Here is a 27,547-nt window from a genome sequence, read left to right on the forward strand (position 1 = left end):
ATTGGTAAACTTATGGTAGTAGTGTTCTGGAAAAATTATTTGAAGGTTAAATATTAATACCGAATTCATTTGACTATTTTAGAACTATTTTTCAAAGTTGTGTCCGTTATGTATTATGTTCTGAATTGTGACATTAAGAATTACAACTTACTATCTCTAAAGTGTCTTAGAGTATGTAAAATGCTATTACAGGTTAGCCCAATGATTTGAACTACAGCATTACAGAAAGCAATTTAGGAAAAAAAAATGAAAGAAAGAAAAGGAGACATATTATCACTAGTCATTTTGTTTGCCTTTAGAGGTAATGGAAATTTTTTATTTTTACTTTTTTTTTTTGTATGTGTGGAAGACGCAAAGGAATAACTTAAGCTAACTCTGCAAAAATAATAGATCCTTTGCCTTTGGGCTTAAAGTGTAAGTGACTGGCTTGTAATGCCACTTTACCACCTGCTGTTATATTCAGTCAGAGTGGAAATGAAACATTTGTATATTGTAGCAGTCGGTACTGTGCCATATATATTTTCTTAATTTGAACATGTCAACAGAGCATGGTTTGCATCTTATCCAGCTTCCTCTTTTCCTCTAAGGTTTAAGGGGTGTGTTTGTTTATGGCAGAGCACATTTTGATGTTTTTCATTGACACCAGATAATATACCATACTAAAGAATGCAGGCTTTCAGTAGCCAAAAAATTTATGTTTGAAATAGAGGTCTAACTAAATTTTTATATAAACTCATTGGCAGTAAAGCAAAGAAATTTAGAGCAAGTTGACACAGAGTCTTGCCTTTTATACTACAATGCCGTGACAGGGGACTGAATATTTGTGGAAATCAACACTGGTAATCCATAATAAACCTGTAAATGTTGTTTATTTAGTATTTACCTAGGTAATAGCAGAAGTGCATGTGATCTGATTTTTGAATTTTTTTTTCTGGCATTGTGTACACACTGCCTCTACTATTTTTTTTCCTTCAAAAAGCTTTTTAAAACAATAGACTTTAGTTCAGACTGCATTTTTAGTAATAGAAAGATAGATGGCTTAGGCATGCTCTTTTCAGTGTCTCATAGCTCTGGGTGCAAATCCCTACTATTTTTGATTTATTGTAGGTCCTTTGAGCCCCTTTTCCATTAACATAAAAATACAACAGGATGCAGCATAGAGTTCAGATTGCAAATATGGACTCTGAAGCTAGGCAGCCCAGGATTTAACTATTGGAAAGGATTTAAAGACAGTCATGGTGTTATGGGAAGGAACTTTTGTTATTACTTTTCCTTTACTAGCAATAAATGGAATTTTTGAAGTTAACATTACAAAAACATACTTTGTTCTATTCTATAATATAAAAATATTACCTCCTTTTTCTCCACTTATTTTCCCTCTCCTTCCTCACTTTTCTCCTTCTAGTTTCCTGGATTCACAATCTTGGTTAATGGAATACAATGATTCCATTCATTTCCCCATTCATTCAGTTGGGTAGTGTGGTCTATGCTTCTTTGTTGAGTTTCTCATCTGAATTTAATATTTAGTTAATTACCAAGTCCTGCCTGTTTCCACCTCTGAAATCCCTCTGGGTATATCTCCAAAGAGTACAAAATATCAGTCAGATAGGAGGAATAAGTTCAAGTTGTACAACATGGTGACTATGGTTAATAGCAATGTACTATATTCAGATATACCTCTGAAATGCCTCTATATTTTACATAGGATTCTATTATCTCTTACTTAGACTACTACAATATCTGCTTCTATTCTCCTCCCATCTAAAGCAGTGATTTTCAACCTTCATTTCACTTTTGGGCCATTAAACAAATGAAGAAGCCTAGGTCCTACCTTAGAAAAATTAAGAATCGGTGGAAGTGAACACCAGGCATTAATTTTTACAATTTATTAATTAACCATTATAATTGATAAATAAAAATTGTATATCCTTAACATGTACAACATGATGTTTTGAAATATGCATACATCGTGGAATGGCTAAGTCAAGCTAATTAACACATGCTTTACCTACCTCACATACTTATTACTCTCTTACCAATTGTCAAGAATATAGTACATTGCTATTAACCATAGCCACCATGTTGTACAACTTGAACTTATTCCTCCTATCTGACGGAAATTTTGTACTCCCTTTGGAGATAGACCCATAAGAGGGACTGCTGGATCATATGATAATTCTATTTTTAATTTATTTAGGAACTTCTACACTGGTTTTCATAATGGCTGTAATAATTTACATTCCCATCAAGGGAATGTGTGCAAGGATTCCCTTTTCTTCTCATCCTCTCCAGCACTTAGTATCTTTTGTTTTTTCTGTAGTAGCCATTCTAACAGGTGTGAGGTGATAACTCATTGTGGTTCTCATTTGTATTTCCCTGATAATTAGTGATGTTGACATTTTTTTCATATACTTCTTGGCCATTTGTATGTCTTCTTTGGAGAACTGTCAATTGCAGTGGTTTGCTCATTTCAAAATCAAATTATTTGTTTTCACTATTGAGTTGTTTGACTTTCTTATATTAACCCTTCATCAGGTATATAGTTTGCAAATATTTTCTCCCGTTCTTTACTTTGTTGATTGTTTCCTTTGCTGCATAGAAGTATTTTAGTTTGATATAATCTGATTTGTTTAGTTTTGCTTTTTGTTGCCTGTGCTTTTGAGGTTGTATCCAAAAAAAATTATTGCCCAAAGCAGTACCATTGAGCTTTTCTCCTCTGTTTTCTTCTAGTGGTTTTATAGTTTCAGTTCTTATGTTTATATCTTTAACCCATTTTGCATTGACTTGTGTATATGGTATGAGATCAGGGTCTAATTTCATTATTCTGCATGTGGATATTTAGCTTTTCCAGCACCATTTATTGAAGGGACTGTCCTTTCTCTATTGTGTGTTCTTGGCACATTTGCCAAAAGTCAATTGACCAAAAATGCAAGGATTTATTTCTGGGCTCCCTATTTTGTTCTATTGGTCTATGTGTCTGTTTTTATGCCAGCACTTTGGTGTTTTTATTTCTATGGCTTTATAGTATGTTTTCAATTAAGGCAGTGTGATGCCTCTGGCTTTGTTTTTTGTTGTTGTTGTTGTTGTTGTTCAAAATTGGTTTGGATATTTGGGCTCTTCTGTGGTTTTGTATAAATTTTAGGCACTTTTTTTTCCTGTTTGTGCAAAAAATGTCATTTGACAGGAATTACATTGAATATATAGATTGCTTTGGGTAATTTATCAATATTTTAACAATATTAATTCTTTCAATACATGAATACTGATATCTTTCCATTTATTTGTGTCTTTTTCTTTTCTTTTTTCTTTCTTTTTGTTTGTTTTGTTTTGTTTTTCGAGATGGCATCTTGCTCTGTTGGCCAAGCTGGAACACAGTTGTGCAATCTTGGCTTACTGAAACCTCTGACTTCTGGGTTCAAGTAATTCTCCTGCCTCAGCCTCCCAAGTAGCTGGGACTACAGGCCTGTGCCAGCATGCCCAGCTAATTTTTGTATTTTTAGTAGAGACAGGGTTTCACTATGTCGGCCAGGCTGGTCTCAAACTCCTGGCCTCAAGTGATCTGCCCGCATTGGCCTCCCAAAGTGCTGGGATTACAGGCGCGATTTCTGTTTCTTTTGTCAGGGTTTTATAGTTTTCATCATACAGGTATTCTGCCTTATTGGTTATATTTATTCCTGAGGTTTTTTTTTTGTAGATACTGTAAACAGGATAGTTTATTTGATTCTTTTGATAGTTTCTTGTTAGTATATAGAAACACTACTGATTTCTGTATATTAATTTTGTATCCTGCAACTTTACTGAATTCATTTATTAGCTCCAGTAGTTTTTTTGGTGGGGTCTTCAAGGTTTTCAATATGTAAGATTGTGTCATTGGCAAATGAGAACGGTTGAAATTCTTTTCTCATTTGGATGATTTTTATTTCTTCTCTTGCCTAATTGCTCTAGCTAGGGCTTCCAGGACTATGTTTACTGGAAGTGACAAGTGTGGGCATCCTTGTCTTGTTCTGGATTTCAGAGGAAAGGCTTTTAAATTATTGCTGTTGAGTATAATGTTAGCTATGGGTTTTTCATATATGGATAATATAGTTTGGATGTGAGTTCCTGCCCAAATCTCATGTCAAAATCTAATTCCCACTGTTGAAGATGGGGCCTGATGGGAGGTGATTAGATCATGGGGGTGGACTTCTCATGGATCATTTAGTACCATCCTCTTGATACTGTTCTCACAATAGTGAGTTCCCATGAGATCTGGTCATTTAAAATCATGTGCCCCCTCCCCCTTCACTCTCTTGCTCCTGCTCTGGCCATGTACATGCCTACTCCCCCTTTGCCATGATTGTAATTTTCCTGAGGCTTCCCTAGAAGCCAAGCAGAGGTCAGCATCATGATTCCTGTACAGCCTGTGAAACCATGAGGCAATTAAACATTTTCTTCATAAATTACCCCATCTTGAATATTTCTTTATAGCAATGTGAGAACAGCCTAACACAGATCATTGGTACTAAGCAGTGGGGCATTGCTATAGAGATACAGACAAATATGGAAACAGCTTTTGAACTGAGTAGTCAGCAGAGATTTGAAGAGTTTGGAGGCTCAGAAGAAGACAGGAAGATGAAGGAAAGTATGGAATTTTTAAGAGACTGGGTAAATAATTGTGACTAAAATGCTGATAGTGATAGGAACAGTAAAATCCAGGCTGAGAAGGTCTCAGATGGAAATGACAGATTTATTGGGAGCTGGAACAAAGGTCACTTATGTTTTGCCTAAGCAAAGAACTTGGTTGGATTGTGTAAATGCCCTAGGGATATGTGGAAGTTTGAACTTGAGAGTGATTACCTAGGGTATCTGGCAAAATAAATTTCTAAGCAGCAGTATTCAAGATGTGACATGGCTGCTTCTAATAGCCTAGCTCAGATGTGGGAACAAAGAAATAAGTTGGAATTTATATTTAAAAGAGAAGTAGAATGTAAATTTTGGAAAATTTGCAGCCTGGCTATGTGGAAGAAAAGAAAAGCCCATTTTCAGGAGAAAAATTCAAGCTGACGGCTGAGCAACCACTTACTAGAGAAATTTGCATAACTAAAAAGAAGGCAAGAGCTAATAGAGAAAACAATGAGGAAAAGGCCTTGAAAGTATTTTAGAGACCTAAGAAGCAGCCCCTCCCATCACAGGCCCTGAGGCCTAGGAGGACAGAATGGCTTCCTGAGCCAGGCTCAGAGCCCTGTTGCCCTGGGCAGCCTTGGGACACTGCTTCCTGCATCCCAGCTGCTCCATTTCCAGCTGTGGCTCAAAGGGGCCCGGGTACAGCTCAGACCACTGATTCAGAGGGTGTAAGCCATAAGCCTTGGCAGGTACCATGTTGTGTTAAACCTGTGGGTGCACAAGTTTTCCTAAGTTGACCAGGATAAGTATTTGGGTTTCTCAGGTGATGGGCAGTGTCATAAAGCTTCCAAGAATTTATACCTTTTGTCACAGTCTCCTTTTCATTTTCAGTTTTGCACTACTACCAGATATTTTTGAGTACACTTGTTCTGACTTAGCTGAATTTATCTACTTTTGAAGTAGTATACTTATGATTTTCAGTAGCTAAATTTCAAGGCACATATGCGTGTAGAGTGAAGTTCATTGTAAGAGTAGTATAAATCAATAGTGCAAAAATGCTTGTTGATAAATTTGTTTTTTTTTAAAAAAAATATGTAATCAACTCTTTGTTTTTACCTTATAATGAAAATGGGATAAAATGGAGTATAATGGTTGAGGGATCTAAACATTTATAAATGTTAACTCCAATCTAATATTTTTTGCAGGAATCTTTTTAAGCTGTCTATTTATTTTGTGAAGATTGTTTAAACTAATATAATTTATAAATTGATTTAAGTTGGTGCTCAGGTGCTGTCATGTGTCCTTTTCCCTTGAAAGTGAACTAATGAGAAAGGCAGTGCTATTATGACATCTATGGAACCATTAATCCCTGTTCATGGACCTTGATACATGAACAGAAGAGAATATCTTACATTGAATACTGAAAAAGCTTAATCTATTTCTTATTGTACCAGGCAAAAATAAATATAAATAAACATTGTATTTTACTCGCCAATCTTCATGGATAGTCTTAAGCAAACTCAGGGGAAAGGACCCCATCATGGAAGACTTACTCTAAGTCTGTGATTCCCAAACTTTAATGTACATATAAGTAGTCTGAGGATCTTGTTAAAATGCATATTCTGATTCAGTTAGTCTAGAGCAGGTTCTGAGATTCTTCAGCTCTAACAAATCCTCAGATGATGCCAGTGCTGTTGATTCATGAACCACACCTTGGAGTAACAAGGCTAGAGTGTGATAGTTTTCTCCCTAAACACAGATTGTTCATGGTCCTGCACTACTTGAGTAAAAACCCATAAAGCTATACAATATCCTTCAAGATTTATTTGCTTCCATCCTAACTTGCCTCCTGCCATTTCTCTTCATGGATCTTAGGCTTCCCCAAACACTGAGAATGCTTTATGATTCATTGAACACAATATTTTACACCTTTAGTCTAAGACCCAGTAATATAGAATAAGAAGGTCAGGAAGGAGGAAGGGAGAGATGACTGTTTAATAAAGTCTCAGAGTCAATGGTGATCTCAAATTTAGAAACTTAATGTCTTTGATGTTCTCAGGCTTAATATTTCTGATATTTCCAAGTGCTAAATTTTATCAATAGATAATCACTACAGAAAAATTTGTAAAAACTTTCTCCGGTACTCTTTGCCATTAAAAAAATGTTATATGTGATCTGAAAATGCAGCATATCTTTGTAATATAATGATAACAACCAACTGGTTATTTGGTACAAAAATCTGCATACTTTATACAAGTGTTTAGTAGTTGTAAACTTTAAAAATAATTTTATAATTCAAGGCTGAAGATTTTGAAAGTTTTTTTTGTAAAGGTAAATTTAGAACTTTTGGTTATTTAATGTATTTTATAATGTTATATCTTCTGTAGAAATATTTTTTCTTGAAATATCATTATATTTATTTTTAATTGAGTGCAGAATCTTTAATGGATGGATTTATGTTTCCAGTAACAAATGGAAGTGTTGGGGATGGAAATTACATTAAATATGAAAACTTACCTAGTAGTCAACAACTTATTAGACCCCTTTAGGGTGGTAGAGATCAGTATGTCAGGTTTAAAACAGTCTGAGATGTTAGAAGTGTCAGAAATAAAAGTTAGAGGTATTGTATTTACTTAGCTAATTTGGAGACTTTACAAATGATTTTTTGAAAGTATTATTTGCTATTATTATTAAATTGGACCTCTTGGGACAGAACCCACAAGTATAGCTTGGTTTTAATCTTTCTGTCTGCCTGGAGTTATATAGGAGTAGATACAGAGGAGTCTACTTTCAGTATGAATTTAGAATCATATACTCATAGAATTCAACGAGTTTGCCAAAATTTGGCTAATCTTAATCCTACATATATATTTCCTATACATATATGTGTATACTCACACACATATATTTTGATTTCTGATGTGTATATATGTAATATTATGCAGTATATACACTCATATATACTCAGTATGTATATTTATATAATAGAAATATTATATAAATATAATATGTAATTACACACACACACACACACACACACACACACACACACACACACACACACAGAGACTCAGAGAGTTGGACATATGTTCCTTGAGTTGGTTAGCTTTCATCACATTCATTTTGGGGCATTCCCTGGTCAGGCTAGAAGGGTGGAAAGGTGGCCAGGCTGTAAGGGTTCCATCCCCATCCAGGACTGGAATATTCCAAATGCTACTGCAAAACATGAGCAGACACTTTTGTGCTCTTGGACCTCTGTATTTTAATATAGCACTTCATGTTATGTGTATATTAGAGTACTGGCTTTCATTTTAATAACTATTTAAACAGATTCCAAGGACACAAATAAAATATTTGCATAGTATATTAGGAGGACAAGAAAAAACAAATAATGAGGAAGGTTATCATTTTCTTCATGGTAGTCTCCTGTTGCAAGTGTAGTGATCAGTTACATGTCGTTTTGAGCTAAAGAACCCTCATGCTCTATTAACTGTGGTGGTAGGAAAATGGCTCCTGGCAATTTTCTATTATGTCAATTCCCTGAGTATTTACATTAGGAGAAACATTTTTATGATTAGTACAAAAAAAAAATCTCTTCTCAGCATTTTCCCGTTATGGGTGCAAAGTGTTTTCCTCCTTATAAAATACAATTTAGGAGTATAACTTAGTGATTCACATTAGATACTGGAGCTTGGAGAGGTAAAGGATTCAGTTCAATATCTGCCTCATTATTAGTTCTTTCTGTATTTCATTTCTTGATCTAATGTAAATTGAACTAGGGAATATTTGGAACACTAGTAATGGGTTTTGAAAAAAATCATTGAATAGAAGCTCTCAGAAACTCTTCTGTGAAAAAATTTGGGAAAGCCACTTTCTTTAAACTCTCAAGAAGATATTTATAACAAAGCATTAGGTACCTTCAGTAATGAAAGACATGGTTCATAATTTGATCAATGCCTCCCAGCTGATACATAATTCAACCTGAATGGGGCATGGCATTCATTTTTCTTCATGACATTGAATGACTTGATGGTATTTCGAACGGAAAGTCTATAGGTTTGGAATATAAAAAAGATAAAGTATTTTAGTAGTATGCAGGCCGAGGACTAAATTGATAAGGTTCTATTTTTAGTTCCCTTAAAGGCAAATTAGCTTCATCTTAGTGTTAAAATGTAGTAAAGTAACACTATGTCATCATATTTTCCATTTCTGTAATTGTGCTGTTTTTAAATTATCTGTTCTTCTTTTTTCTCTCTGCCCTCATTACGCCAAGCACTCTCAGTTGTTCCTAGGAATCTATAAAATTCACAGTGAATTTCAGTATCTCCTGTTTATACAACTAGCTCTCTGATAATCCATTCATTGTTTAGATGCCAGTTAATATTAAGTAATACTACGCACTGCAATAAGTGATTTAAAAAATTAAGCAACCTTTGGGTATCGGCGTTTTTTTTTTCCTCAGGGGCTTCAACAAGTATTTGATTTTGTTTGAAATTAATGCTATACAGTTTTAGACTAAGAACCAAACATTTGGTTCCTTTGGATTATATGTTTGCATTTTTTATTGAATGTTGTGTGAACTACTAGTACAGCTTATGCTAAGAGGAACTGGCCTTAAGGCACAATACATCTTTGTTTTCACTTTGCCAAGCCTACATAAATAATTTCTTTTAAAGGTAACCACTTCATACTCACACTGTCTAAAGTACATAAGAATTTGGAAATATGTTTTACTAACAACTGCAAATTTCAAGAGTTAGGAATGGTCATTTATAAATAGTATTGTTTTCATACTCCCTTCTACTGGAAATGTGAATCTGTCAATTAAAGAGTGTCAAAGAGCTATTCAAACCGCTAAATTGATTTCCAGCTACCTCAGACTTTGAAAATAGGAGAGACTCCTGAGTTCCATGCTGTGGGATGGGCCCACTCAGCAACTGACACTCATTAAAGAGCCGATTATGAGAACCCCTAACAGAGCATTGGTTTTACCCTCCCTTCAGGTGATGGTGCTAATATATGTGATTCGATTTGGTGTTATATCTGTGTAAAATATTTTACAATTTATTTGGGAAACCTGCTGAAAACAATATTGAATGAGCAACTAGTATTCTTTGAAACCGTTAATTAAAATTCAACTACTTGATTATATATTGCCGGTGTTTTATAAATATACCTAAGATATTCATAGACACTGTCAACTCTTCCCTCCCCTGTGGATGGATCACTACTCTTAAATGATGCGATGTCACACTTTCCTGATTTTCTTTCCCCTTTTCATGACAGCATCTTGTCAGTATGCTTTGTGGGCCCCACCCCAGTTGCCTTCGTCCTCTGCCTGTCTCTTAAATCTCAGTGCTCCTCAGACGTCTGTCTTAGCCCTCTTCTCTACTCAGCATTGGTCATGGTCTCCTCCCATCTATGTGTTGATGACTTCTTAAATCTTTTCCCCGACCCCAGCCTCTCCCCAATGCATCAGACTTCTACATTCAGCCTCTTAGTAGATATCTCTATTTGGATGTTCTAGGGGTGACTCAAACTCAGTATGTCCAAAGCAGGATTTGTCAGTGTGTGCTTCAGTCATATTGATCTAGTTTTTTTGATTACTGAAAGTATTGTGTTGTCTCTTCTTTGCCTATGCTACCTCCTTAACCTGAAATACACTTCCCCTCTGGCTACCCACTATTGACTCAACAGATCCCATAATTGGCATTCTCTAAGGAAGCTTTTTCTCATTCTTATGTCAATATTAGAGACTTCTTTTACAGAATAATGGTAATAATTATAAAGGTAATGATGATGATGATAATAACTGTATTAGTTCCCTATTGATGCGATAATAAATTAGCACTTAATTAGTGGCTTAACACAACACAAATTTATTATCTTACAATTATGTAGGCTGAAAGTCTGACACTACTCTCACTGGAGGCTTTAGGGGAAAATCACTACATTTTCTGAACTATTCCAGTTTTTAGAGACTGCACTCCTCAGCTCATGGTCCCCTTCTATCTTCAAAGCCAGCAATGCCTGGTAGAATCTTTCTAACATTTCCTCAATCTGACACTGACTCTCCTCCCATCTCCTGCTTTCACTTTTTAAGACACTTGTGATGATATTGGGTCCACCTGTATAATCCAGGATATTCTTCCCATCTTAATTTCAGCTGATTAGCAATCTTAATTCTGTGTGCAACCTTAATTCCCCTTTGCCAAGTAACCTAATATAGTCACAGGTTCCAGGAATGAGGACCTGGACATCTTTTATCCACAATAGCTAACAGTTATTAATAACTTAACACTTGCTAGGTACTGTTCTAAGCACGCCACATATATTAATTCATACAGTTGTCAAGAACTGTTAGGAGTCTAAGGTTTTACCTTATCCTACTTGTAATATCAACTAGTCAGACCACCACTGTTTCGTGAATGCTGGCAGAAGTCATGAAACTCTTGGATTAGAAATAAAAGACATTATTGTTCTAGCTACAGTAGTAGCTAGAGTATAAGCATTTTTTTTATTCTTTTAGAGACAGGGTCTCACTCTGTTGCCTAGGCTGGAGTGCAGTGACATTATAGCTCACTGCAGCCTCGACCTCCTGGGCTCAAGCAATCCTCCAACCTCAGCCTCCAAAGTAGCTAGGACTACAGGTTTGCACCACCATGCCCAGCTAATTTGTTATTTTAGCAGGAACAATGTCTGACTATGTTGCCCAGACTGGTCTTGAACTCCTGGGATCAGGTGATCCTGTTGCCTCGGCTTCTCAATGTACTGGGATTACAGGTATGAGCCACTGTGTCCTGCTGGTATCATCAATTTTTTGTGCCAGTTCCCAGAGCCCTAATTCCCAAGAGTGACACACACAGGTCCAGCTGATACCTGCACATGCAGTGGATTATATGATAGGTGAATATACCTGACCCTAGGGAATGTGGTTCTTTTATAAGTGATAGTATGTATGCCTTTTGCTCTGGAGAGCCTACTATCTCCGTTTTTGCTATACAAAACCGTCCTTAAAAAGAAAGTGTGGAACAAAAAGCAGTCAGTGCCTGTTCTCATAAGATATACAGAAATGTAAGAGACCCTTGAGAATTGTGTTTCAACAATAACACTCACAGTAGTCCTGCAAAATAGTTGCAATTATATTCATCTTCATTTTACAGGTGAGGAAAATGATGGGTAGAGAGGATCAGTAATGTGCTGGGGCAGAATTGAGTTCATGTTCTTAATCCCTGCTCTATGCTGTAGCCATTATACTGTGCACTCATTGTAGCATATGCACTGCATTGTAATTGCCATCATGTGTGTCTATAATATGTATGCTTTTTGACTTGTTTGTAACCCCCATTGGTTTTTAAGCTCCATGAAAATTTAAGGGGACTTTGTCTTTATTGTTCAGTGTTTATATGCCCAGCCTAAATCAGTCTGGCCAGTATTAGGTAATGAGCAAGTATTTTTGGAATAAATGAAAATACACTGTAAATGAAACCTTAATAGGAAGGAACCTTACATTCAACCTGTATTCTCTGAGATAACAGCAAATCTTTGTTATATAACAAGTATTAGTCAACTTGGGCTGTCACCAGTGGATGGCAAGAAGGGGTCATTTAATGTCTTTTCTGTGTTCATACCTAGTCATGTTTCTTAAAGCAAAGACTGATTTTGTAAGTACTAGACGCACAACAAAAAATGCACAATATGATGGTGAGAATCAAAGTAGCACTAATTTTAAAAATTAAAGGGGTGAGAAACTGACAAATGTTCCCTGTGCATATGGGATCTATCCTTTGGCATAGAAAGCCTTTTTCAGGGAAAAAGGAAATCAAGCAACACATGTAAAGTGTTCTTCCATTGCAATTGACAGTAATCAGTAAATGTCGAGGAAAATTGATTGCTGAAATGAAAAAAAAATCTTTTGAATGTGTGGCAGGAGGATCAGCAAAAACACTGGCTGCCTATTATGGCCTAATGCTAATTCAGGAGAATGCTAGAAGTTCGAGAACTTGTAAGCTAAGCTTCTGAATACAAGTAGTGCTGATGAAAGTTCTGTTACAACCCACAATGTGTAGCTGAAACTAGTCTGCTTTAAATGAATGATGCCCAGATAAAAAGACCATCAGGAGAAAAATGTATTCTGCTTTAAAGCTTTGAAGGACTGACTCCTAAATTTGGTAGGAATGTATCTAAGGATAGCAAAGTTTAACTTCTTTGTCAAACAAACTGAAAAAGAGTCATTCAGTACCTAACTGGTTTATGAGTAAAAATCTTGAGAATATACCCTTGAAAGGAAGAAAAAGAATGGTAGTTCTCATTTTATAAATATTAGTTATGGGTTACTTCTATAAATTTTATCTTATTAATATTACTGTTTTAAATGTAGTTTATATTTTTACTAGCCCCATATATTAATCTTCAGAGCAAGATGTTCCATTTTTTATTCTTAAACACAAATGCATATAGACAGTCTTGAGCAACAACCAGTCATGGTATAATCAAAATACAACTTTTTTTTTTTTTTAGCCTACTATGCCTTTAAAATTAGTGTCCCTGGATGATAATATGAGCATATCCTATAATGTTTGTTGGCTCAATCTTAAGTAGGATCTATGTTGTTTTAAATCATAATATAAAATTTCAATTTGAAAATTAAAATCTATAATGGAACATATTAACCTAAACTTCATCTTTGTTTGAAAATAAGACTCCTCCTCCTCTCTTTCCTGAGGCCTATGATGCATTCAATTCCCCAAGGTGGGGAAGAACTGGAAAGATCTCAAATAGTGATAACATTTATCATGCTTACTATGTAGGACTAAGTGCTTTACATGGTATAACTCATTTAATCTTCACAGCAACTTGCAAAGCGGGTACTGTTAATATCCCCATGTTATCAATAAGGAAGTGAAAGCTGAGAGAGGCTAAACAATTTGGGTTTGGATCCCAAACCCAGTATGGACTCCACAACTTGCAGCTTTAAACATTATATCCATTGCCTTCTGCCAAGAAGATCTGAGAAGCAGAGCTGGAAAAATAACTTGGATTGTGATTGAGATGCTGCTAGAGTACAGCCTGGTGACAACATTGAAGGTGAAATTCAAAGAGTGAAGTGGGGCAGGAAACAGAAGTAAGAGTTAGGTCAGAAGCTTGCAGATTTGAGCACAAGATGGTTTTGGATTGGAAGAATCAATAGGCATAGAGCCCATCTGTGAATCGGAAGGGAATGCATCTGAGTGATACTTTGCATAGGAGTAGAGAGGTGATTTAGAAGAGCCGCAGAGCTCTTTACATGGCAGAGTGAAACCATGGAATTCATGACCAGAGCTGTTGAACCTAAGGCCCTTTCCTGGGTGGTGTTGGTAGTGGTTATACATCTGTGTGGCTTATGATTGCAGGCAAAACTAGTTGTAAGCTATATTTAGCATGACTTGCCATCAAAGGTAACTATTCATTTATTTTTCAGTTACCTTTTGAATATTAGCCATATGCTTGGTACTATGCTAGCACTGCAAATGAACAGTTAAGATTAAAACTGCCCTGTCTTGGATTGGGTTGATGTTTCGCTTAGATACTAATTTTCTTAAACTTTTCCTGGTCATTTGATCAAATGTATTCTGCCTCCAACTCTGTTATTCTTTAACATACCATGTGTAATTTTCATGATAGCCCCAATTGCAGTCTCATATTATCTATTTGTCTATTTGTGTATTATTTGGCCCCCTGCCCTACCTGCACTCCCCAACCCCTCAAACCTGGAACATGAGCTTGGACACAGCAGCATCTTTGTTAGTCTCCTTCTCTGCTGGAACAGAGTAAGGACTCAACAAACTTTACTGAGTGAGTGAATGAATGCCTAATTCAAAGAAGTACCTTATGTGTACAAGGAAAACCAGAAAGAACAAATTTATAGAATTTATTCTGTTCTGAAACCACAACTTCTAATATTAATGTATGGCACTTTAGATTTTCTGAGCAAAAATATCTTACATTCAATCAGAGACCAGTGCTGCTTTTCAGGAAAATGCCACATCCCCTGACTACACTAGGGGCTCAGCAGCAGGTCTGTTTTCTGCCTAGGCATGGAAGGATTGGCTGCTGAGGTGATGCTCCTGAATTGCTAGGATATTTATTTCTTCAGCATTAAAACTCTTGTCTTCCAGAACTTTCTATCCCTTTTCCCTCAGGATTAAGGTTGAAGTCTGGGGCATTCAGGTTCTGATCTTATTATAGACTTATGAATCTCAAATTAGCTAAATAAATGGATGACAAATCTAGAATGAACTGATAAGTTTGAGTGTGGACAACTGGAAGGCAGAAATTGGCTGGTGAAGAAATATTGCCAGGAAAAGTCAGTACTGTAGGTAGTATGGCTTAGGCAAAAGGAAAAGTATGAGAGAAAGTAGGACAATTGATAACTATCTGAGGTCACATATCAGAGAGCATCTCCTGTACTCTTCTCACACTTAGAGTGTGGAGTGTGAGCTTGATCATGTAGCAGAGAATATTTGAGCTGGAGGATACCAGACTCTTTCACACTGGAGCCAGGGCTTAGAGGAGCTCAAAGCTGGGGCAAAGCATCTTATTCTGGACTGATTATCATGACCTGTGAGATAAGAATCTGACTGTGGCAGACAGGAGAGAACTGTTATTGCACACATTTTTGTTAGTGATTATTTAATAATTTGGAATATATTAGAGTGCATTTCTAGCTTACAAGATTATTCATCAGAAGGGTAATAAGGCAACACTTTCACTAATGCTGGAGACTGGATTTCAGTTAGTATGTACTATTGAACAGACCTCATTTAGTGATTCTTTGGACCTTTTGCAAAGTTGTGAGGTTTCTCCCTGCATGATGTTCTCAGGGCAATGGGCCATTTTATTTTATGAGGGCTGACTTTCCCTAGAGGGCAAAACAAAAAGCTGCAAGGCTTTCTTAACTTTCCTTTAGTATGTACTATTAAGCCAGATTAAAAGGGGAGAGGCTTACACAAGGAGGCCCAGCACACTGGGGGCCTATCAAATGGCAGCCTACTACAAGATGCTTAGATATTTTCATCTAGTGCTCAAAGAGAGCAGTCTGGGCATGTGGGTGGTGATGGATGATGTTAAAGTGGATGAAAACACTCAAAGAAAATAAGTAGTAGAGTAAGTGTCTTAGTCCATTTATGCTGCTATAACCAAATACCTGAGACTGGGTAATTTACAGATAATAGAAATTTATTTCTTATAATTCTGGAGGCTGAGAAGTCCAAGATACGGCACAGGCAGGTTTGATGTCTGGTAGGGTCTGCTCTCTGCTTTCAAGATGACTCTTTGTTGCTGCATTCTCCGGAGGGGATGAATGTTGTATCTTCACATGGCAGAAGAGACCCACAGAGATTACATTTCAACATGAATTTTGGAGGGGACACATTTAAACCATAGCAGTTGGTAAAACAAAACAACACAGAAGCCACAGATGTAAATCCTGGAAACTTTGATTTTCAAAAGTCAGAAAGTGGCAAGAAAATGAAAAACAAAGCAAAACAAAACAAGAAGAAGGGCTAATCTGAGAAGTGGAGGAAAAACATGGATATTCTGTTATTATAGACACTAGCCTACCATATGATAATTCTCAGCAATGCCAAAAAAATGATGAATTCTGGGAAGTGTCCATGAGAGTTGTGAATTTAGTTATTCAGAGCTGTTTCAGGATAGTGTTAAGAATAGAAGGCAAATTATAGTGCATTGAGGGTGAGTAGGAGGCAAACAAGTAGAGCAAGTCAGATTTTTGTTAATTTATGTTATCACATTCACTAGTATTATATGAATTATTTCATATCTGTCTATAGTTTTTTGTACTATACTATTTAATTGGAAGCAGACTACTATGCATAATTTTATCAAGCATTTTCTTTGAATTTCCAAGTAAATTAGATTCTGAAACATTTGAATTTTCTTCTGTTTTCAAGGCATATGAAGGAGTTATGGGTATACATTTTAATGGGTATAGTCTCATAACAAATTTCTTTTGCAAAAATTAAAATAATTTAATTCGTTGTGAATTAATGTTATCTGCCTTAAATAAACAAAAGAATATTTTTGTTACTGAGCTTCCTTTTTTTTTTATTAGCTTCATTCAGGTACAGTAATGTACAGTAAGCTGTCCATATTTAAAGTATGCAGTTTGGTGCCTTAACACATGTATACACACAGGAAATTATCACCATAATGAACATATTCATCACTCCCAAAAGTTTCCCATCGCTATCTTCTAACTCCTCCCATCTTTGTCCCCAGGCAACCTCTGATGTGCTTTCTGACTCTATAGATTAGTTTGCATTTTCTGGAATTTTACATAAATGGCATGAATCATAGAGTAGATATAGCTTTCTTCTTTTTTTATTCCATATAACTGTTTTGAGATTCAACCATGTTGTGGACTGTAACCATAGTTCATTTCTTTTTATTGCTGAGTAGTATTTTGTTGCATGGATATACCATACTTTATTTATTCACCTATTGATGGACATTTGAGTTGTTCCTAGTTTTTAGCTACTGGAAATAGGCTTTTATGAATATTTGTGTACAAATGTTTGTGTAGATATATGCTTGATATAGGTGCTCTTAAATTATAAACCTATCATATAAGATTCCTTAAGTTGTGAAGACATAGAACAGAGCCACAATTAAAAATACTTCTCCATAGTTGCTTCAACAAAATCTAAGTTGCTTCAATACACGGTTATAAGGTTAGTAGCATACAATGTTTTCTTTATTTTTTCCCTACTCTGCCGTTTATAATCATGGTTCCTCATATTTATTATAAAACCTGTGTGTATATAAGAAGCTGTCCTCTACTACTGATCTGTTTTACTCTATTCTTTAATGATTTTAATTTGACTCTGGCTCCATTTGCTGAAGAGTCCTTGTTTGGTTGATCTGTAATCTTGTTACCCAGGCCTGACTTTTGTGACCTCATACCTTTCGATACCAGTATGTAACCAGCTGCCTGCTTAGGTCACCAGTGCCTGATATCTTTATCACCGGCCTCCAATTGTTTCCACACCATATCTGCTTATGCTGTTAGTCAGGCTTTTGCTATCTGACAACTGCCCCCAAGTCTACCTTCCTCTTTATTCCAAACTCCTAGACTGCACCTGGTTCATATGTATAGAGTCTTCTTCCTGTGCTATTTGAGCCAATCCAAATCCCAATGTGTGGCTTGATATGCTAGCTTAGCCTTGACGACCGACTACTCTTGGCTTCTGGAGGACTACAGCTTATGGAATTGCCTCTACTTTGTCACAGGCTTGGGTCAGAAGGCTTGTTCCTTAGTCACATGTTGCTACAAGTAAATGACACCAGGCCTGCTACTGTTGTTGCCATCTACCGGTGACAAAGTTGACACACTGTGGTCCTGTTATCTGGTTTGTTCATATTTAGACAAGGTGTTAAGGTAAAATCTTATATAAAATAATATCTATTGGTTATGAACTTACAATTCATACCAGTTCTCTGATCTATGTTCCTCCTCTTTATGTATTTCAGCCACATCACCCTTCTTTGTCAAGCATATTTCTCTCATTTTCACCTTAGGGCCTTTGCATTTGTTGTCGTCTCTTAGAATGCACTTCTGATTTCAAACAAGCTAGCCTCTACCATTATTCACATCTCAGATGAAATGTGACTACCTTAGAGAGGGCTGCCTTGACCACACCACACCCACCCCATCGATCAATCACTATCTTACTCTGTTACATTTTCTTTGTAGCATTTATCATTTACTAATTTTCTCATTCATTTATTACTTGTTAATTGACGTCCTGCACACGCTCACATATGCATGTAAGCACCATGACGATAGAGAGCAAGGAGCTTGCAGAACAAGGCAAAACTGCGTCTATATTGAGCAAAGGAGATGCTCAATGAGTATTTGTTGTATATATGAATGCATAGATTACCTGTTTCTGCCCGTTGATATCCTATTTACCTTTTTTTATTATTATACTTTAAGTTTTAGGGTACATGTGCACAACGTGCAGGTTTGTTACATATGTATACATGTGCCATGTTGGTGTGCTGCACACATTAACTTGTCATTTAACATTAGGTATATCTCCTAATGCTATCCCTCCCCACTCCCCCCACCCCACAACAGGCCCTGGTATACGATGTTCCCCTTCCTGTGTCCATGTGTTCTCATTGTTCAATTCCCTATTTACCTTTTGAAGTCCAACTTAAGTACCATCTCTTTGAAAACCTCCCCAATCAGATTTATTTTTTCTCTCTCTTAGCACTCTTAATTCTTCAACTATTTGCTCATATTTCCCTTTTTTTCGTGTTATAGCTGTTATGCACTTATGCTGAGTCTAAAATGTAGCGGAAGATGGGGTCATATTTGACTTATTTTAATATATATTTCAGACTTAAGACCACAACCAGCCAGGCGCGATGGCTCAGGCCTGTAATCCTAGCACTTTGGGAGGCCGAGGTGGGTGGATCACGAGGTCAGAAGTTCAAGACCAGCCTGGACAATATGGTGAAACCCCATCTCTACTAAAAATACAAAAATTAGCTGGGCATGGTGGCGCGTGCCTGTAATCCCAGCTACTTGGGAGGCTGAGGCAACAGAATCGCTTGAACCCGGGAGGCGGAGGTTGCGGTGAGCCGAGATCGCACCACTGCACTCTGGCCTGGGCGACAGAGCGAGACTCCATCTCAAACAAACAAAAACAACAACAAATACCCACAACCAATGCTGAGAAGATAATTTTTAAAGTCAGGAATAAAGAAAAATCAACCTTATTATAAGACTGTTGACTATTTTATTCTTTCTCTTATTTTGAAATATTTAAAGCATATGGGAAAGAATCAGTAATATTATAATCAGTACCCATACCACTAACAGTGAAATATTATTATTAAAAACATCACTATTTAATTCACTGTGTGACTGTCTTCCATCCTTTTCCCCTCCATTCTTCCATGAAGCAATCATGATCCTGACTTTAATGTTTATCATTGTTATATGTGTGTGTTTGTGTGTGCATCTTGCCATTACTGTCTCTATGCACGTGTTCATGTATAAGTAACCATCTACAACACATGGTGTTATTCTACTTGTTTTTAAATAGTAGATGTTATTATAGGGTCATTTTGCTCTTCACTTATTTCCTCGACATTGTCTTTCTCAGATTGTCCATGTGATGTATGCAGTGTTAGAATCTAGTGGTGAGATCAATTGTTTTGATTGCTGTGTAATATTCCTTTATATACATATTTCTCAGTTTCTTTGTCCTTTGCTTAAAAGCACTTAATTTTCTCTTTTCACCTGTACAAACAATACCATAGCGAACATTCTTGTACAATTTTCTGTTGCATCGTAGGGAGTTAACCCAGGGTTATATCAAGAAGTAGAACTTCTGGGTCAGAGACTGTAAACACTATGCTTGGCATTGTGATTGAAAGCACAGGTGCTGGAACCAGGCTGCTGGGTTCAAATTTCTACCCTGCCACTTACTGACTTTCCCAGGAAGCAAGGAGCGCTAGCTATTTTCAACCTGTTTTCATGAGCATGTGTGCCCTACCTCAATCCCTGGCATTAAGTAGTCAGCGTGGCTTAGGTCCTTTTGGCTTTGGAAGGATCTGCCAGGGCCAATTCCCAGCCGCCACTGCCTGTTGCTGGAGCCAGTGCCCAGCAGGCCTGTTGCTTCACATGCAATCACCACTTTGCATTTCTGTACCATTTCTGGTCCAGGGAGAGGTTTATTTTTAAGCCTGGAGATGTTTTTTAGTTTTCCCTTTTAATATTTGATTTATCATCACTACGTCTCTGGAGCAGAGGGAGTACATCGAAGCATGAACTCTTTGTGTCACCATAACCAGAAGTTGATAACACCTCTATGACCTTTTAAAATAAGCACAGATCTTAGAGTCATCTAATCATAGATATTTGGAGCTGGAAGGCATTTTAGAGATAATTAAGGCTAATGACCTTATTTCATAGGTGAGGGAATTGTGGTCTTAAGAAATTAAGTGATTTACTAATGTCGCATAGCCAGTTGGTGACAGAGCCAGACCAGAGCCTGTGGGTCCCCTCAATAATATTTTTTTTCCATTATATCCACTATCAGAGCTTTCCCTGTAAGATATATTTCATGTAACATATTTCTTTTAACATAACTGAAAAAATACACTAGAATTTAAGCAATTAGAAAACATCACATTTTAAAACAGATATAAAATGTTTTCTCTTATACAATATTGGGGTAAATGTAAGAATATAGTATTTACTGCATTGAGTCAAATATATTTTCATTAGAAGGCACAACGCCTTTGCCTCTGTAGGTTCCTGCTGCATGTGGTTTCCTTGACTTATGAAATTTATTAGGATGGGCCCATCAATAATGGCACTGATACTTCCAGCTACCTATAGCACTGGGCTTGAAAATGAACTGTGATGAATGGATATGACCAGCATTTGCAGTGATAGCCTATATTTCTGCTGTCATGTAAAAATGGCAAGTAGTTTAATTTGCCAAAAAAATCACTAAGTAAAATCAAGTATTCCTTATAATTAGGATTTCTGGACACTTTTTAGGATATAAATTCAGAATCTGGTGTCTTTGTTAAAGCCTTTGGAACTGTTTTATTTTATTTCTAGATCTTTTAGCTGTGCCTAAGCATCCGTATGCTGCTATGGAGAACTGGGGACTAAGTATTTTTGTGGAACAAAGAATACTGCTGGATCCCAGTGTTTCATCTATTTCTTATTTGCTGGATGTCACCATGGTCATTGTTCATGAGATATGTCACCAGGTATGAGAAAAAGAATCAGGTGTAAGTATAATGTGAAAGCTATTGAAAATGATTTTGAATACCTACATTAAGAGCTAAATTATTATCCTCCCAAAGAAGTTTTAATTTTATATGGAGCACTGTGTAGTTCTTTCTGGAAGATATGTCATTTTTCTCCAATCATAGAATAAACAAAAACAAACACACTGATCGTATTGAGTAAGCAACTGTCATTCCATTTAGTTGAAGAGTGAGATGGCACTGCCACCCAGCAGCCTCTTTGGAGCCCCTATCTGGTCAGTTATCAACCTTGCTTTATTTTCTTGTGATTATTAGTGTGTATATATGGTAAGTGCAGTGATGGCAATGATTTATTGCATCGCTGCAAGATGCAGCTGAGTTTTGTGTATGTGTCAAAATTTGCTTTGACTGAAATCAATTTGTTATTCCCCTTTTCCCACCACATAGACACTTAGGAAGTCTTTCACTAACTCAGCCATAGACTCTTTGTTCTCAAATGATTGATATTTTTTGTCTTGGCATGTTTAGAAATTCATATGTAAATTTGCCAACTTTGTAGTGAAGCTAAGATAAAATTAATTTCATTTTGATTTTATGCATTTTCTCACAATGAATGGAAGGTATTAGATTTCGCAGTGCTTATGTGAATCTTAATTTTAGTGGAAAAAAATCACTGAAAATAGACGTCCATGCCAATAGAAAGTGATACCTGTCCTGGTTACCAGTATTTATGGAGCTTTAAACTTATAACACCAGATATCTCATTGTGATACAGTGTGATTTCAATAAATTATAAAACCCACACCTTGTTAGAAGCTGAAAAAACTAAGGAAAGAGTGATGTGAAAAATGCCGTCAGTGAAAGAAGGTAAACAGTTAAATGCTGATAAATGAATACTGACTTAATGATGAAGTGATCCGGGTCAGACGACCGTTCTATGTAAATGTCAGCTTTTTTTTTTTTTTTTTTTTTTTTTTTTTTTGAGACTGAGTCTCACTCTGTCACCCAGGCTGGAGTGCAGTGGTGCAATCTTGGCTCACTGCAGTCTTCGCCTCCCAGGTTCAAGTGATTCTCCTGCCTCAGCTTCCCAAGTATCTGGGACTACAGGTGCCCACACCATGCCCAGCTAATTTTTTATATTTTTAGTAGAGACGGGGTTTCACCATCTTGGCTAGGCTGGTCTCGAACTTCCTGACCTCAGGTGATCCACCCCCCTCGACCTCCCAAAGTGCTGGGATTACAGGCGTGAGCCACCGTGCCCAGCCCCTAAATGTCAGTTTTTTGCACTGAACCTGTAAGATGTTTGATGTTTTTATCTGCCTTGTTGACCAGATCTCTGAGGTGTGTTCCTCATCTCAGGCTTAAGGGGGATCCTTTGCAGAGATGACTGGGGCTCCTAGTCTGTACTAAAGAGGATGGTTTTGACCGAATATCATGTAATTATTTGAGACAAAAGCAGTTTCCTTTTTGAATGCTCCTATAAATGACAAGTTAGATATATAGTTCTGTGGAAGTGAAAGCGCACCGATAATGTGTAATTGTTCGGAGAACTGGATTTCATTTGTTTCATATTCTAAGTTACTTTCTTGTTATAGCTTAGTATTTGTAGGCCACTTACTATGGAGTAATGAACCAGAAGCTAGGAGAAACACTTAAAATAATTTCCGTTGTCATTAACCAATTAATTTCTATGTTACCTTTCCTGCCCACCTATTTGTTGTCACAATTCTGAAGATAGGATTTCAAGTTAAAGGAGAAACATGCATTTTTTATTTAAAAAATTATTAAAAGTTAAACATTTACTTTGTGGTCCTCAACATACTGAGAGCTGTTTTTATTTGTATTTCAATGAGAGATCCTCTTGAAGAACAGATACTTTACTGTTACTATTGAAACTGTCAGCCAAGCTTGTTAATGTGGCTCCTAAAGCCATACATGATCTGGTACTTGTCTGCCTTTCTGGACTCTTTCATGCTTTCCTCCTCCTGGTCCACTATGTTCCAGCCGCACAGGTCTTTCTTCTGTTGCTTAAATAGCTCATTCCCACTTAGAGTCTTCACATTAAGGGTTAATTACATCTCCCTGGAATTCTCCTTCCCAAGCCTTTCTCATGGCTGGCTGTCCCTTATCATGGAAGTCTGAGCTCAAATGTCACTTGCTTAGAGAGAATGTTTTTGCTTTTACAATGTAAAGCAGTTCCTCCCTCATTCCTGTAGCAGTTTGTTAGGATCTGAAATTGCGTTGTTCATTTGCTTATTTATTTTTTTATCGTCTACCTCCCCTCATCCCCCCTACCTCTACAATAAAATGTCAGCTGCATGAGGAGGAACATTATCTAACTTTTCTTCACTGAATCTCGTCTTTAGGCTAGCTCCTGGCATATAATGTATTTTTTGCTTTTTAATAAGAAAAGAATTCCTTTAACGTTTTCCTGAACTAAGCAAGTTTCAGAATAATACATCATGATCTAATCAAAACACCTGTTAAAATTACATTATTTTTCATGAAGGCATCTTAGAGAATTTTTTTTGGTTTAAATCCTTATTATAATAGAATCATGGAGAGTCAAGGGTGAGGGACCTCAAAAACCCTTAGTTTTATCAATCAGCAAATATCTTCTCTGAATAGCCTCTGCCACTAGAGGGTGATGCTTACATACCTCCTGTGATGAACTGCTCACTACCTTTCAAGGAAGTATTTTCCCATCTTTGGCCATCTCAGTCTGTTAGAGGGTTTTCTGCGTTTTCAGCAGACATTTACCCATGCTAATTTCCGTTCATTAGTCCTGGTTTGTCCCTTGTAGGGTCACAAGAAACAAGCCTTTCCTCTTCTACGTAATAGGTCTTCAAATATTTGAAGACAGCTCTCATCAGTTTTTCTCTCCTGAGCCCTTTCTTCTCCAAGTCAAATATTCTTTTGTGTTCATTGATTATTCTTTTTTGTTCTTCTCTGAAAGCATGTATAAAAAAACTAGTGTCACCCAAGTACTCAGATAAATCAATACAGTTTTGCCACAACACATTTTAAGATCACAAAATCAACTGGGGAATGAATTCCAGTTATAATAATCATAGTTTAATACATGTAATTTTAGATAAAATAGTTTGGGGATAGATTTTATTTTATTTGATGACCATTAATTTTGTTACTGCAGTGGTTTGGTGACCTTGTGACGCCTGTGTGGTGGGAAGACGTGTGGCTGAAGGAAGGGTTTGCTCACTACTTTGAATTTGTTGGTACAGACTACCTCTATCCTGGCTGGAACATGGTAAGTGCACTTGAATTATTTGAAACTTTTAGTAAAAGGCCGATCTAGTGTTACATTAGGCTTATACCATCCTTAGAGATGACTAAAAATACCAACTGATGCATGAAAATGTATCAATAAAGTGTAACCAAAAATTGAAATGTTAGTATTCTTAAAGAGTCATCTTTTACTTATTAGGAACTATATAATCTGATTTGCTATTCATTTGCTTCAAAATGCCACAATTTACCTGAATAGAAATATTTTCAATTGTAGTATTTTATAGTAAAGGCAAATTGTCCTTTAAAATAAAGAAGTCAAGAGTAATTAATAATATTTTAAATATACAGAATATATCAAACAGAAAAATGAGGACTTGACATCTCATTCATGAGATAAAACACAAAAAATACCTAAAAGATACGATGTATTATTGTTGTAGATATATGTATTTTAGGATTAAATGACTTAATAAGAGGTCATTAATTTTATATATGAAGTTATTCATATTATACCTATACTTTAGGAATGTCAGAACTTGAAGAAAGGTTTTTGTGCCTTAAGCTGTGCTGTTATAGGGCATCCTAGAAGAAAAAGTAGAGGGAGGGTGTAGTTTTGCTATATGTCTTTTTATATCAGTTTTTCATTTTATATAAGCTTTCACTGATCAATATGTGACAGTGTGATTATTAAATAGAACCCGGGGTATATATATGTTGTTCTGAAATTCAAATTTAAATTTATTTTAAGTGGTACTATTAAATTAAGTAAAAATTGCAATGTACCAATACTTATCAATTTCCAAAAGCTCAACTTTTATTTGTGACATAGCGTAGGCGATTATGTATATATATACACACGCACATATATATGCACACACACATACATATATATACATACATATATATACACATACATATATGTATATATTGTTTTAAAGCACTTTATTGAGGCAAGATTGACATACAAAATGCTGTACATATTTAATGTATGCAACTTGATGAGTTTGGAGATAAGTGTACATTCATAAAACAAATGGTCACCACAGTCTATGCCATAAACATATTCATCACCTCCAAAATTTTCTACCTATCTTCTTTACTTATTGTTATTTGGTGATAAGAACACAACATAAGATCTGCCCTTCAGGAAGTTTTCAGGTGTGTGATGCAGAATTATTGAATATACACATTATGCTCTATAGTAGATCTCTAGGACTTATTCATCTTGCATGACTGAAGCTTTGTACACTTTGTCTAATACATCCTTGTTTCCTCCTCCCCCAAGCCTCTGGCAACCACCATTTTATTCTCTGCTTCTGTGAATTTGACTATTTTAGATTTCTTATAGAAGTGGAATTATGTAGTATTTGTCTATTTTATCTCGCTTGGCATGAAGTACCAAGTTCACTCATGTTGTTACAAATGGCAGAATTTCTTTCTTTTTTAAAGGCAGAATAGTATTCTCTTGCGTGTATACACCACATTTTCTTTATCCATTCATCTGTCAGTGGATCGATTGCTTCCAAAAATATTTTATACTGCTCTCTTTTGATGTTCTAAAGTAGTAATAGGCAGTTATCTACTTGTCTGTTATTGTTCCAAGTATAATTTGAAGAACACGTAAACCAAGGTAAAATATGAAAGCATCTGTAAGTCATCATATAACTTCTCCAACATAAATTTAAACGACTCCTGCTGAGAAAAAAAAATGAAATTACTTTAACAAAAATGTGAAGATAGTAATACCATATCAATGTGTTTTAATTATTTTCATGCAATTTTACTGATATTTTATGAAGGCAACATGACTCACTTGCACAAATCTACAAGATAAGTTTATTTGATTTATGTGCCTAGGCATTTATATATGTATAACATAATTTTAATATCTTAATTGAAGTGTTTTATTTTGGCATTCAAATTAATTAACAATGCCTTTAAATGACACTGAAGAAAAATCAGCAATACAACATTATATTATTGGAAGTATTCTTTAAAAAACATGTAATTTTAAAATGTAAATGTTTACGGTAACTGAAACATTTCCAAAAGTATCTTTTGGTTTTTGATGACTTTCCACCAACTTTGTTTAAATTTCTCATTTAATTTTTATTATACTGTGGATTATTCCTGATTTATAATTTCATTATGTTTCAATATTAAAAGATGTCCTTATTACAAGTGATGTGTTATGCATAGGTGTTGCTTTTTTTAGCTCATTCAGATACCTGTGATAAAATTCTTTCTATTCACCATTATGAAAAATGCATCTTAGATTTAAAAGTAGTCAACAGAATTATACATGGGGTGAAAAGTGACAGCTTTTGATTGTTTTAGCATGGTAATATATCTTCAGTTTCAGTATCCTCATTCCAAATTTTGTCTTTGAATGACTTTTCATATTTCTTCATCATTTTATCAGTTACATTGTAAATATAGGAATTCTGGAAAATATTTTTAGAGGTATTGAAAATGAACACAGAGTGTAAATAAGACAACTGAGACTTTGTTCTTAATTAAACACAGACCATGCATTAGGAGTATAAAAACCTTGAGGTGAGTCAGATATAAGATTTGATCACTTCTAAATCCATATTTAATAATTAAGAAATGAAAACTAACAACAGAATAATTACGGTGTCACAGAAAACTCATCCTATTAAAGTAAAAAATGAAATAATAAACTCCATCACATTTAATTACACAGTTAATAGTGAGAAGAAACAAGTCTTATTATGATGGGTTTTTTTTGTTTTTGTTTTTGTGTTTTTTTGAGACAGAGTCTCACTTTGTGGCCCAGGCTGGAATGCAGTGGCACGATCTTGGCTCACTGCAATCTCTGCCTCACAGGTTCAAGTGATCCTCATGCCTCAGCCTCCCAAGTAGCTGGGATTAC

At 35.9% G+C, this 27,547-nt stretch overlaps 1 protein-coding gene across 5 annotated transcripts in view, besides 1 other annotated feature; it reads left to right on the forward strand.

Annotated features, from left to right (window-relative positions):
- TRHDE (thyrotropin releasing hormone degrading enzyme) overlaps positions 1–27,547 on the forward strand; it is a 583,493-nt gene that overhangs the window by 361,245 nt on the left and 194,701 nt on the right. For all 5 annotated transcript variants that reach the window (XM_017019244.2, NM_013381.3, XM_017019243.3 and 2 more), the window contains 2 exons: positions 21,248–21,402; positions 24,557–24,670. In XM_017019244.2, the coding sequence (XP_016874733.1) occupies positions 21,248–21,402; positions 24,557–24,670 (269 nt within the window). The remainder of the gene's footprint in view (positions 1–21,247; positions 21,403–24,556; positions 24,671–27,547) is intronic.
- Positions 16,726–16,926: a silencer, noted in NCBI's record as "peak1828 fragment used in MPRA reporter construct". NCBI's record gives its function as "represses an SCP1 promoter by STARR-seq MPRAs in K562 erythroleukemia cells {active_cell/tissue: K562}" and the evidence as "EXISTENCE:reporter gene assay evidence [ECO:0000049][PMID:32103011]".

The sequence above is a fragment of the Homo sapiens genome, chromosome 12 (assembly GCF_000001405.40).
Source record: "Homo sapiens chromosome 12, GRCh38.p14 Primary Assembly".
Lineage (NCBI taxonomy): Eukaryota > Metazoa > Chordata > Mammalia > Primates > Hominidae > Homo > Homo sapiens.